The sequence below is a fragment of the Homo sapiens genome, chromosome 10 (genome assembly GCF_000001405.40).
Source record: "Homo sapiens chromosome 10, GRCh38.p14 Primary Assembly".
Classification (NCBI taxonomy): Eukaryota; Metazoa; Chordata; class Mammalia; order Primates; family Hominidae; genus Homo; species Homo sapiens.
Window position 1 is genome coordinate 89,392,533 of NC_000010.11, and position 14,112 is coordinate 89,406,644.

Here is a 14,112-nt window from a genome sequence, read left to right on the forward strand (position 1 = left end):
AGGTTTCCAACTTGCAAGGACACACCCACAGCTTACACCATTGGCTGCTGTTTAGCTCCCTTATATAACACTGTCTTGGGGTTTAAACGTAACTGAAAATCCACAAGACAGAATAGCCAGATCTCAGAGGAGCCTGGCTAAGCAAAACCCTGCAGAACGGCTGCCTAATTTACAGCAACCATGAGGTAAGGATTTCTTTGCTCCTCTGCCATAATGTCTAAAGTTTTTGAAAAAATGGTAATTAAATACTATTTCAACAGGTTAGATCTCAGTGAGGTCAGGTTTTCTAATTCCTCGATTTGAGTATCTGCTTATGGACTGAATGTGTGCATGCATGTGTGTGCACGTTCACACATACATAAATTGTTTAATGCATTTTTATGTTTGTTAGCATGAACTTGAGGAAGCTTACCTCATGCTATAGCCCAAAGAAGGGGAGGGAAATGGGAAAAGAGTTTTGCAGGAAGGGAGAAAATGATCCCAATCTGAGAGATTCTTTCCCATCAGATTCACTTCTGTCTGATATGGGGAAGGAATGGACAGCTTGTCTGAGTAGAGGCATTGCTTTCTGCAGGTTCTTTACCACAGAGAAAAAGCAGGACCCACAAGAATGTGAAAGCCTCAGTCTTGCAGCCTCTCTGATGTCTTGTGGGTAATACAGTGGAGATGTGGTAGGAAAAGCTCACAGCCTTCCTCCATAGGCTTCTGGTCTCACTTTCTGCACTGCTGGCCTCTTACAACAGGTTTTCGCAATCAGGCTGAGCTTAAGATAAACAGATTGCCTCCTCCCTGGAAAATCTAGGCTCTTGGTACGTCCTTGACTGAAGATGATCCACATCTGCTTGGGAAGATCCGTATCTTCCTTACCTAAAGGGCCTAATGTGGGAATTTCTCAGCTGATTTAAAAACCATTACTTAGGCCGGGCAAGGGGGCTCATGCTTGTAATCCCAGCACTTTGGGAGGCCAAGGTGAGCAGATCGCCTGAGGTCAGGAGTTGGAGCCCATCCTGGCCAACATGGTGAAACCCCATCTCTACTAAAAATACAAAAATTTGGGCATGGTGGCACATGCCTGTAGTCCCAGCTACTTGGGAGGCTGAGGCAGGAGAATCACTTGAACCTGGGAGGCGTAAGTTGCAGTGAGCTGAGATTGTACCACTGCACTCCAGCCTGGGCAACAGAGCGAGACTCCGTCTCAAAAACAAACAAACAAACAAAAAATCCATTACTTAATACTGATTTGTAAATTTTCCCCTCAGTGCTCCAGTTGGCAAAATTTTGAAGAGGTAAAAATTCCAGAAAATGCACATTACAGGCCTATGATGAACCCTCCTCTGTAAACAGATGGAGTTGGTACTGATAATTAAAATAATAATAATATTAAATGTTATAAAGGTAGTTATCACTTCTTGAATTCGTATTAAGTGACAGCCTGGCTTCTAAAAGTGTTATGTAAATTATTCCATTTAATTCTCAAAAGATACTTATAAGGCAGGTACTTACACAGTCATGCATCGTGTAACAATGGGGATACACTCTGAGAAATGCAGCTGTTAGGCAATTTCATCATTATGCAAACATCAAACCTAGACGGTATAGCCTACTACACACCTAGGCTATAAACCTGTGCAGCATGTTACTGTACTGAATACTGTAGGCAACTGCAATACAATGGCAAGTATTTGTTTATCTAAACATATTTAAACATAGAGTACAGCAAAATTGTGGCATTAAAATCTTATAGGACCACCACCAAATATGTGGTCCTTTGTGGACTAAAATATCATTATGCAGTGCATGGCTGTATGATCCTGATTTTACAATAAGGAATCTTAGATTTAGAAATGTTAAGATCACACAGACAATAAGTGGTAGCTTTGAGATATGGATCAGGATCTCTACATTCAATGATATTTCATTAAACCTTTAAATCAATGTTTCCCAAAGGGTGTCAGTGGGGGCTCATGTGATTATTTCAGATGGCAAACTCATTTGCTTTTATGTTTTCCTGCTTTTATGTTTATGTCAATATGTACTACAGGAAAATATATATATATATATATATATATATATATATATATATATATATATATATAAAACTTGAATTTTATTCAGGTTAGCAATGTGATTTTTTATTGTGATAAAATACATGTAAAATAAAATTTATCATTTTAATTACTTTAAAGTATACAATTTAGTAGTATTTAGTATATTCATGATACTACTGTGCAATCATCATCACTATCTAGTTCAAGAACATTTTTCTCGCTATGTGGAGAAACTGCATAGCCATTAAGCAGTCACTCCCTACTTGCCTCTTTCCCCAGGCCCCAGCAACTGTTAATCTGCTTTCTGTCTCTATGGATTTGCCTATTGTGGGTATTTCATATAAATGGAAACACATACTATGTGGTTATATTGAATTTTTATAATTTTATATTTCCTAAGCATCCCTTTTTGAATATTAAGTTGGACTTTCTCATTCCAGAAGCAGGGCTCAGTCACCCTTGAGACAATTTCTAGTTCTCCACCTTTTTCCAGTTCCTCAATGTGATTGATCCAGATATCTGCTTTATATAACTACCTCCTGGTGACCACTTCCCTATAGCATAGCAGGGTATGACCTATTTGACTTGCCCCCACTGACCCCACCCCCACCCCACATGGACCAGGCAGATGTGCTGCAGTGACCACCTCTCAGTCACAGCATGACCCCTTGGCAAAATTGCACCTGCTTGCTCTAAACCCACCAAATAGAACTCTCCACAGGAAACCCACCTAGGTAACGCCCTGGCCTCCCATAAAGGCTTGGGCCCACATTCCCCACTCGCTGGTTGAGCAGGCATGTCCTCAATGGCTCCCCCTTTCCCATTGGCCCTGCAAGGCATATTACCCTCTTCTCTCTGGATCTGTAAGTAATAAGCTGCTTCTGTTATTTCACATACTATTTTTTTCAATTGCCTCCTTTGTATTTCACCTGACCAACACACTCAAACTCTTCTTTACTGGTCATGGCTTTCCGAGAGAGTGGCTGTCTCAGTAGAAATAAACTAAACACAGGTCAGGCAAGAACCACAAGGGCATCTGCCTGATATAAACAAGTTTCCTATAAAAGGGGACACCTAGACATAGATCAGACGCTTAGGCATTAGGCTGTTCATCAAAATAAAGAAGTATCCCAAGAAAGGCACATTGTAAATATCCATGACCAAATACCCTGAAGCTCTTTCAAGGCAGGGCTGTAGATTGTAGCCACTCTCACAGGAGAGACCTCAAGACAAAATTAGGAAAAAAAAAAATACAACAGTGACCTTTTGGATCAGTTTTTTTCATTTAGTGTAGTGTTGTCAAGGTTTATCCATGTTGTGTCATGTATCAGTACTTCATTCCTTTTTATGGCTACATAATATTCCACTTTATGGATATATTACATTTTTTTATCTATCAGTTGGTGAACATTTGGGTTGTTTCCATTTTTTGGCCATTATGAATAGTGCTGCTATCAACATCTGTGTGCAAGTTTTTATTTGAACACCTGTTTTTAAGTATCTTAAGTATATATCCAGATGTGGAACATCCAGGAATGTATACCCAGGAATGTGTCATATGGTAATATTATGTTTAACTTATTGAGGAACCACCACATTGTTTTCCACAGCAGCTGCATCATTTTACATTCCCACCAGCAATGTATGAGGGTTTCAATTTCTCCACATCCTTATTGCCTTAGTCCTTTTTGTGTTGCTATAGAAGAATAAGCAACAATTTCTAAGGCTGGGCAATTTCTAAAGAAAAAAGGTTTATTTAGCTCACAGTTCCGCAGCCCATACAAGAAGTATGGTGCTGGCATCTTCTCAGCTTCTGGTGAGGGCTTTGGTGCTGTGTCAAAACACACTGGAGAAGGTCAAAGGGGAAGCACATACAAAGAGGGTCTAAACCCAGGGGGCATCCTCACATTATAACAACCCATTCTCAAAGGATTAATCCATTCCCCCAAGAACCAATCCAGTCTCACAAGAATGAGAATTCACTCACTACTACTAGAATGGCACCAGGTCATTCACGAGAGACCTACCTCTATGATCCAAACACATCCCACTAGACCCTACCTCCAAAATTGTGACACTAGAGATCAAATTTCCGTAGATTTGGTGGGGACAATCAAACTGTATCCAAACCATAGCACTTGTCAATACTTGTTCACCTATTCTCCTTTTCTAAAATTATTATTGTAGCCAACTTACTGGGTGAGAAGTGATAGCTCATGGTTTTGGTTAGCATTTTTCTAGTAGCTAATGATGTTGAGCATCTTTTCATGTGTTTGCTAGTCCTTTGTGATTCTTCTTTGGAGAATTGTCTACTCAAGTCCTTTGCCCATTTTTAAATTGGGTTGCTTATCTTTTTGTTGATGAGCTGTAAATATACTTACATATATTTCTCCATACATGAGTAATCACATACATACAAATATATAAGGATTTGGTTCTTTATAAAATAGGGTCGTGTTTTGGACACTTCTTTACAATTCACTTTTCTTGATATATATGAAAGTCCATCAAACTCAAGTAGTTTTGATCTAATTCATGTAGTCTAGTGGCTACATAATATTCTATGGTATAGATATACCTTTATTTAACCGTTCCCTATTAATATTTCCAGTTTGTTGCTAATATATACAGTGTTGGTAATGAATATTCTTGAGTATACATCCTTATGTACTGGTTATTTTTTTCTGGGAGATAGATTCTGAGGAGTGGAATTACTTTGTTGAAGGAAATGTAATTTTAATGACCACCATTAATTTTAATTTTGATTTTAAAATTAAAATTTTAATTTTAATTACTATCAATTTTCATGGCTGTCATCAGATTGATCTTGAAGGCCATAATAATACATGGCTTCAGAAATTGTGTCCTCATCCATTTAAACTCTTGCCAATCTGAGTGGAATAAAGTTATAAATTATTGCTTCTTTAATTTGCATTTCTCTAATGGCTAGAGGCTTAGGGCATCTTTTTTCTTTTTATAGAGACAGGGTCTTACTATGTTGCCCAGACTGATCTTAAACTTCTGGCCTCAAGCAAATCTCCTGCCTTGGCCTCCCAAAGTGCTAAGATTATAGGCATGAGTCATTGTCTTGATCCAGAGCATTTTTTTTCATATTTATTGGCCATTTATATTGGCTTTTCTACAAATTATCTATTCACATAGATTTCCAGTGGTCTGTTGAACTATACCAATTTACAAAAACACTTTGTATATTACAGATGAGAGTCTTCTCTGTATTACAAACATTTTCCACGTTTTTGTTATTTTTCTATTTACTTTGTTTGGAGTACCTTTGCCATAAATAAATCACAAATTGTTTTATTATGGTAAAACATATATAACATAAAATCCACCATTTTAACCATTTTTAAGTGTACAGTTCTATGACATTAAATACATTCACTTTATTGTGCAACCATGACCACCATCCATCTCCAGAAATTTTTCATCTTCCTAAACTGAAATTCTGTACTCATTAAACAATCATTTCCTATTCCCTCCTCCCCCAGTGTGGAGGATCAGTCAGAGTGACGGGAAAAACTATAGGGAAAGAATGCAAGCCTTCTGAAAGGTCAGAAGGTTCTGCAGAGCCCTGGGGGAGAACAGCTGAAGGCAGCTGTTCTATAACTCTGAGGCAGAGGGCAAGGAGTAGGTACAAGGGAGTGTGGGGGAATGTATCTTAAACAGGCTTGTTTATTTATGTTGACCAGGAACTGACCTTTGATCATCCACATGCGTGATGTTCCCTGAAAGGGGAACAATAAATGTTAATTCCCTACAGGTTGTGTTGGCTCCAGGTTTTCGGCATTGTGCCTGCACTGAATAAAAGTAAGCAGCTCCAGCTTCTCGGGGATGTTCTCTGGCCACTAGAGCCAGGCAGTCACCTAGCTGCTCTTACATTGCATACCTGTGTCTGAGTACTCATTTCATCCATCAGCCAGGGTCTGTGGGACAGACCCGGCACCCTAGTCCCTGTTAATCACTATTTTACTTTCTGTCTTTATGAATGTGCCTACTCTAGGTAGCTTATATAAATTGAATCATACAATATTGTCCTTTTGTGACTGGCTTATTTCACTTAACATAATACCTTCAAAGTTTATCCATGTTGTAACATGTATCAGAATGTCTTTTCTTTTTTAAGGCTGAATATTCCATTGTATGTATATACCACATTTTGTTTATCCATTCATCCATCAATGGACACTTAAGTTGCTCCTACCTTTTGCTATGTGAATAATGCTGCTATGAATATGGACAAATAAATAATCTGCTTGAGTCTCTGCTTTCACTTCTTTTTGGGTATAAAACCAAAAGTGGAATTGCTGGATCAAATGGTAATTCTATGGTTAATTTTTCTGAGGAATTACCATACCATTTTTCACAGCACTTGCCCCCTTTTACATTCCTACTAGCAGTGCACATTTCTCTAGATTCTCACCAATAATTGTTATATCCTGCTTTTTTTTTAAAATAATAGCCAACCTAACAGACATGAAGTGGTATCTCATTGTGGTTTTTATTTGCATTTCACTAATGATTAGTGATATTGAGCATCTTTGCATATGTTTATTGGCCATTTGTATATTTTCTTTTGGGAAATGTCTATTTAAGTCCTTTGCCCATTTCTTAATCAGTTGTTTGTTTTTTGTTGCTGAGTTGTAGAGGTTCTTTATCTATTCTGTATATTAATCCCCTATCAGGTACAAGATTTGCAAATATTTTCCTTCATTCTGTGATTTGTCTTATCACTCTGTTGATAGTATCCTTCCATGCATAAAAGTTTTTAATTTTGGTGGAGTCCAGCTTAATTATTTTTACTGTTATTGCCTGTGATTTTGGTATCATATCTAATGAATCACTGCCAATTGCCAAATCCAATGTTACAAAGCTTTTTCCTTTCTTCTGAGTTTTATAATTTTAGGGCTTACATTTAGGTCTTTCATCCATTTTGAGTTAATTTTTGTATATGGCATAAAGTAAGGGTCCAACTTTACCCTTTTTCATCATATATCCAGCTTTCCCACACATTTGTTGAAAAGACCATCCTTTCCCCATTAGATGGTCTTGTCATTCTTATTGAAAATCATTCCACCATTGTTATGGAATGAATTGTGCACTTCCCACCCACCCCTGCCCAAAATTCTTAAGTTGAAGCCTTAACCCTCTTATGTTGAACTGTTGTTTGGAGATAGAGTCTAAAAAGAGGTAATAAAGGTTAAATAAAATCGTAAGAGTGAGGCCTTAATCCAACAGAGCTGGTGTCCTTAGACACCAAAGCTCACTCTCTCTCTCTCTGTGCCACTGAGGAAAGGCCACTTAAGGATGCAGCAAGAAGGAGCCATCTGCAATCCAGGAAGAAATTCCTTGCCAGGAACCAAATTGGTTGTCACCTTCATCTAGGACTTCTAGCCTCGAGAACTGTAAGAAAATAAATTTCTGTTGTTTAAGACACCCACTCTGTTATATTGAGTTATGACATTCTGAGCTAACTAATACAGTCAGATAAGTAAGGGTTTTTTTCAGGGCTTTCTATTCTATTTCACTGGTCTATACATCTGTCTTTATACCATTGTTGTAATATTGTGATTACTGTAGCTGTGTAGTAAGTTTTGAAATCAGAATGTGTGAGACATCCAACTTTGTTCTTCTTTTTCAAGATTGCTTTGACTATTTGAGATCCCTTGACATTTCATATGAATTTTAGGTTGAATTTTTCTATTTCTGCAAAAAATGTCATTGGGATTTTTATTAGGATTGCATTGAATTTGTAGATCACTTTGGGTAGTATTGACATCTTAATATTATGTCTTCTAATCCACGAACAAAGGATGTCCTTCCATTTATTTATTGCTTCTTTAATTTCTTTCAGCAGTCTTATAGTTTCCAGTGTACAAGTCTTTTGCCTCCTAGGTTAAGTTTATTGCTAAATATTATATTCTTTTTGATGCTATTTTTGTAAATGGGATTGTTTTCTTAATTTCCTTTTGGGATTTTTAAATTGTTACTATATAGAAATATGACTGATTTTTCATGTAGATTTTGTATCCTGCAATTTTGCTGAATGTATTTGTTAATGTGTAGAATCCTTAGAATTTTCTACATATAAAATTATGCCATTTGTGAACAGAGATAATCTTACTTCTTCCTTTCCAACTTGGATGTCTTGTATTTCTTTTTCATTCCTAATTGCTCTGACTAGAATTTCCAGTACCATGTTGAATAGAAGTGGTGAAAGGAGCATCTTACCTCATTCCTGATCGTGGAGGAAAAGCTTTCCCTTTTTCACCATTGAATATGATACTAGCTATAGGTTTTTCATATATGGCTTTAATTGTGCTGAGATAGTTCCCCTGTATTAGTAGTCTATAGTCTGTTTTTTTTTTCATAAAGGGTGTTGAATTTTGTCAAATGCTTTTCCTGCATCAATTGAGATGGTCATGTATTTATTCCCTTCATTCTGTTAATGTGGTATATTACATTGATTAATTTTTGTATATTGAACTATCCTTTTATATGAAAGTCTCCATTTAGATGACTTTTTTTTTTTTTTTGAGACTGAGTTTCTCTCTGTTACCTAGGCCAGAGTGCAGTGGCGCGATCTCAGCTCACTGCAACCTCTGCCTCTCAGACTCAAGCGATTCTCCTGCCTCAGCCTCCGAAGTAGCTGGGACTACAGGCATGCACCACCATGCCCACCTAATTTTTTTTTTGTATTTTTAGTAGAGACAGGATTTCACCATGTTGGTCAGCTGGTCTCAAACTCCTGACCTCAAATGATCCACCTGCCTCGGCCTCCCAAAGTTCTGGGATTACAGGTGTGAGCCACCGCACCCAGCCTATATGACATTCTTGAAATGACAAAATTACAGAGATGAAGAACAAATTAGTGGTTACCAAGGGTTAGGGGAGTACAGGTGAGGAGGTGACAGATGTGACCATAAAGGGGTAATATGAGGGAGATGTGGTAGTGAAGAGGAGTTTCGTTTCTTTATCAAAGTGGTGGTCTCATAGGCTTACGTGAAAAAAATGACATAGCACTATACAAAAGCATTGTTGTACCAATGTCAATTTTCTAGTTTTGAGCTACTGTATTATAGTTGTGTAAGATATAATCATTGGAGAAAGTGGGTGAAGGATACACTGGATCTCTGTACTGTCTTTGCAACTTTCCGTGAATCTGTAATTATTTCCAAGTAAAAAAAAAATGAAAAAAAAAAAACCCGGGTCAAATATTATCTGTTTCATGTGGTCTTAATTTGTTGCATTACATGCAGAGTAAGGTCCTGAAGTCAATGTTTCCTAAGGTTCTGCATTTCTAACTGACCTCTGTCCTAATTATCTTAATATTAAAATAAGAAACTCTTATATAGCATATAATATGCTCTAAGTGCTTGACACATATAAGTTTATTAATCCTCACCAAACCCAGTGTGATAAATACTATCATTATCTCCATTCTACAAATAGGACTCATAAGTACAGAATAGTTACTTGGCTGGAAATTGCTCTAGCCAGCATATGAAGCCAAGCAAACAATATCAACAGTCCATGAATAACTTAAAAATACATTAACTTTAATGAAACCTAAGTAAGTTGATCCTTTCAAGGATAAGCACTAAAATACAAGGTATTTTATCTGACTTTTTTCTTTTAGCTGTTCCTCACCTAACAAAGAAAATCTGTTTTTGTTTTTACAGTACAAATGGTGATGATCATCAGGTCAAGGATAGTCTGGAGCAATTGAGATGTCACTTTACATGGGAGTTATCCATTGATGACGATGAAATGCCTGATTTAGAAAACAGAGTCTTGGATCAGATTGAATTCCTAGACACCAAATACAGTGTGGGAATACACAACCTACTAGCCTATGTGAAACACCTGAAAGGCCAGAATGAGGAAGCCCTGAAGAGCTTAAAAGAAGCTGAAAACTTAATGCAGGAAGAACATGACAACCAAGCAAATGTGAGGAGTCTGGTGACCTGGGGCAACTTTGCCTGGATGTATTACCACATGGGCAGACTGGCAGAAGCCCAGACTTACCTGGACAAGGTGGAGAACATTTGCAAGAAGCTTTCAAATCCCTTCCGCTATAGAATGGAGTGTCCAGAAATAGACTGTGAGGAAGGATGGGCCTTGCTGAAGTGTGGAGGAAAAAATTATGAACGGGCCAAGGCCTGCTTTGAAAAGGTGCTTGAAGTGGACCCTGAAAACCCTGAATCCAGCGCTGGGTATGCGATCTCTGCCTATCGCCTGGATGGCTTTAAATTAGCCACAAAAAATCACAAGCCATTTTCTTTGCTTCCCCTAAGGCAGGCTGTCCGCTTAAATCCAGACAATGGATATATTAAGGTTCTCCTTGCCCTGAAGCTTCAGGATGAAGGACAGGAAGCTGAAGGAGAAAAGTACATTGAAGAAGCTCTAGCCAACATGTCCTCACAGACCTATGTCTTTCGATATGCAGCCAAGTTTTACCGAAGAAAAGGCTCTGTGGATAAAGCTCTTGAGTTATTAAAAAAGGCCTTGCAGGAAACACCCACTTCTGTCTTACTGCATCACCAGATAGGGCTTTGCTACAAGGCACAAATGATCCAAATCAAGGAGGCTACAAAAGGGCAGCCTAGAGGGCAGAACAGAGAAAAGCTAGACAAAATGATAAGATCAGCCATATTTCATTTTGAATCTGCAGTGGAAAAAAAGCCCACATTTGAGGTGGCTCATCTAGACCTGGCAAGAATGTATATAGAAGCAGGCAATCACAGAAAAGCTGAAGAGAATTTTCAAAAATTGTTATGCATGAAACCAGTGGTAGAAGAAACAATGCAAGACATACATTTCCACTATGGTCGGTTTCAGGAATTTCAAAAGAAATCTGACGTCAATGCAATTATCCATTATTTAAAAGCTATAAAAATAGAACAGGCATCATTAACAAGGGATAAAAGTATCAATTCTTTGAAGAAATTGGTTTTAAGGAAACTTCGGAGAAAGGCATTAGATCTGGAAAGCTTGAGCCTCCTTGGGTTCGTCTACAAATTGGAAGGAAATATGAATGAAGCCCTGGAGTACTATGAGCGGGCCCTGAGACTGGCTGCTGACTTTGAGAACTCTGTGAGACAAGGTCCTTAGGCACCCAGATATCAGCCACTTTCACATTTCATTTCATTTTATGCTAACATTTACTAATCATCTTTTCTGCTTACTGTTTTCAGAAACATTATAATTCACTGTAATGATGTAATTCTTGAATAATAAATCTGACAAAATATTAGTTGTGTTCAACAATTAGTGAAACAGAATGTGTGTATGCATGTAAGAAAGAGAAATCATTTGTATGAGTGCTATGTAGTAGAGAAAAAATGTTAGTTAACTTTGTAGGAAATAAAACATTGGACTTACACTAAATGTTTAATTCATTCATTTTATTGTGAAATAAAAATAAAATCCTTAGCTCCTCCACCAACTGAACAGACCCTCTTGGCCAAGGAGACCCCAGAAACCTTAAAAACTAAGTTTCCCAACCATGACAAGATGAGAGATCATTCACACCTCATTATATTCCCTCCCTTGCTAACTGCCATTGGACTTTTTCCACTGAGTTAAACAGAAACCCATGGAAAACAAAGAACAGAAGACTCACTCCTTGGCTGACTTCACCTAGCTCACTCCACGTAGCGCCACAGCCAGACTCCCCTCCCCTCTTGCGGTTTCCACATGACAACTGATCAGCCTTCCCTCCTGATAAGTGACCACTGCCCACAGACTGGTTCTGGCCAGTCCATGGAGGCTGCACACAGGGTGCCTCTATGTCCTTTGTTTCACCTTTTGATATAGAAAGGCTAATTTTGCTGTATTTTAATGTTAAGTCTCCACCACAGAGTGAACACAGAATGCATGTGACATACATGTTTACATACCACTATTGTGTGACTGCCCCTCATGAATATTCATAGCCCCCCATAACCTGTTAACTATGTGTGTCTAGCCAATCCACCAACCATAAAACTTCTGTAATACCCTCCCTTCCTCCAAGAGCCTGCTTTTGGTTGCTGTGGTAGGCTCTGCTTCCCAGGCTGCAGGTTGCAGGAGAGGAGGCTGCAGTGGCTCACGCCTGTAATCTCAGCACTTCGATGGGACGAGGCAGGCAGATCACCTGAACCCAGGAGTTCGAGAGCAGCCTTGGCAATGGCAAAACCAACCGTCTCTACAAAAAATGCAAAAACTTAGCTGGGTGTGGTGGCATGCACCTGTAGCTTCAGTTCCAGCTACTCAGGAGGCTGAGGTGAGTGGACTGCTGGAGCCAGGGAGTTCGAGGCTGCAGTGTCGAGATCTTGCCACTGCACTCCATTCTGGATGATAGAACGAGACCCCATCTCAAAAAAAAAAAAAGTTCTCTCCAATTGTATATAGCTTGTGATTTTATGTCAACACTATCAATAAATAGCTTTCAGTGCAAGAAACCAAAAATACTGTAATAAACAGGCACATATTCTTCCCAAACCTCATGCAGTTTACAATCTAGTGAGAGACACAGATAGCAGTACAGAGTCAATTAAAGGTTAGTTTTCTTCATGAAGATGTTTTAATTTTAATTCAATGTGAAAGGGTTCCAAGGAGTTTATCTTGTTTTATGCCATTTTATTTGAAGCACTACTTACTAAGTCATTTGCTGATATTAATCTAGTTAAATCAAGAAATATTACATGAAAATGTTGCTAAATCAGAGATCATGGGTAACAATCACCTTTGATTATGAATAATCATATTTTATTGAAAGGCAAGGCACAACAAATAATAAGAAGGAAAAAATAAATAAGCAATGTTATTGATCTTTCATTCTGTATATGTTTTGGGGGGAATATACTAGTTTCTTTTAGTGGCTGTAACAAATTACCACAAACTTGGTGACTTAAAATTTCACAGATTTACTCTTTCTTACAGTTCTGGAGGTCAGAAGTCTGAAATGGGTTTCAATGAGCCAAAGTCAAGGTATTGATGACGCTACACTCCTCCGGAGGCTCTAGGCAGATAGCCTTTTCCAGCTTCCAGAGGCTGCCTGAATTCTTTCATCCATCTTAAAAACCAACAGTGTAGTAGCCTCAAATCTCTCTCTCTGCTTCCTTCTTCACATCTCCTTCTCTCCTCTGACTCTTTTGCCTCTTTCTTCTAAGGACGCACCAGGTCCACCTGCATAATCCAGAATAATTGCCCCATCCGCAAATCCTTAATTTAATAACATCTGCAAAGTCCCTTTTGCTATGTAAAGTAGCATGTTCACAGGTTCTGGAGACTTGGCCATGGATACGATTGCGGGGGGGGCATTATTCTTACCACAGAGCACCCCAAGAAAATCTCCAAATTTTGGGCTTCCAATCCATTTTGCTTCAATTATTTAATATTTTTACTCCTTCCAGTAGATACTGATTTCATCCATTGCCCTTAAGAAGGTAGGACAGAGATTATGGCACATCTCACATTAAATGCTATATTTTCGTTGGAAATACATTTTTTGCTTCAACTTTTATTTTAAATTCAAGGGTACATGTGCAGGATGTTCAGGTTTGTTACACAGGTAAACGTGTGCCATGGCGGTTTGCTGAACAGATCATCCCATCACCAACAGATCATCCCATTGAGAGGTGAAGCCGGCTGGGCTTCTGGGTTGGGTGGGGACTTGGAGAACTTTTCTGTCTAGCTAAAGTATTGTAAAATGGACCAGTCAACACTCTGTAAAATGGACCAATCAGCTCTCTGTAAAATGGACCAATCAGCAGGATGTGGGTGGGGCCAAGTAAGGGAATAAAAGCAGGCCACCCGAGCTGGCAGCGGCAACCCGCTCGGGTCCCCTTCCATGCTGTGGAAGTTTTGTTCTTTCGCTCTTTCAATAAATCTTGCTGCTGCTCACTCTTTGGGTCTGCACTGCTTTTATGAGCTGTAACACTCACCACGAAGGTCTACGGCTTCACTCCTGAAGCCAGCGAGACCACAAACCCACCAGGAGGAACAAACAACTCCCGACACACCACCTTTAAGACCTGTAACACTCACTGCAAAGGTCTGC

At 38.7% G+C, this 14,112-nt stretch overlaps 2 protein-coding genes across 13 annotated transcripts in view, besides 1 other annotated feature; one reads left to right on the forward strand and one right to left on the reverse strand.

The window, feature by feature from the left end:
- Positions 1–14,112, reverse strand: part of LIPA (lipase A, lysosomal acid type) — a 201,108-nt gene that overhangs the window by 178,961 nt on the left and 8,035 nt on the right. The window lies entirely within an intron of this gene.
- Positions 91–13,955, forward strand: IFIT1 (interferon induced protein with tetratricopeptide repeats 1). 5 transcript variants are annotated; one of them, NM_001270930.2, is made up of 3 exons: positions 91–185; positions 575–809; positions 9,749–13,955. In NM_001270930.2, the coding sequence occupies exon 3, from the start codon at positions 9,837–9,839 to the stop codon at positions 11,178–11,180; it is 1,344 nt and encodes a 447-aa protein (NP_001257859.1). In that variant the 5' UTR covers positions 91–185; positions 575–809; positions 9,749–9,836; the 3' UTR covers positions 11,181–13,955. The 5 variants fall into 5 exon arrangements, with proteins under 5 accessions (NP_001257859.1, NP_001257856.1, NP_001257857.1 ...); NM_001270927.2 differs by having other exon boundaries at positions 575–671; NM_001270928.2 differs by lacking the exon at positions 575–809 and adding an exon at positions 7,358–7,471.
- Positions 771–820: an enhancer, noted in NCBI's record as "active region_3749". NCBI's record gives its function as "activates an Ori minimal core promoter by ATAC-STARR-seq in GM12878 lymphoblastoid cells {active_cell/tissue: GM12878}" and the evidence as "EXISTENCE:reporter gene assay evidence [ECO:0000049][PMID:35858748]".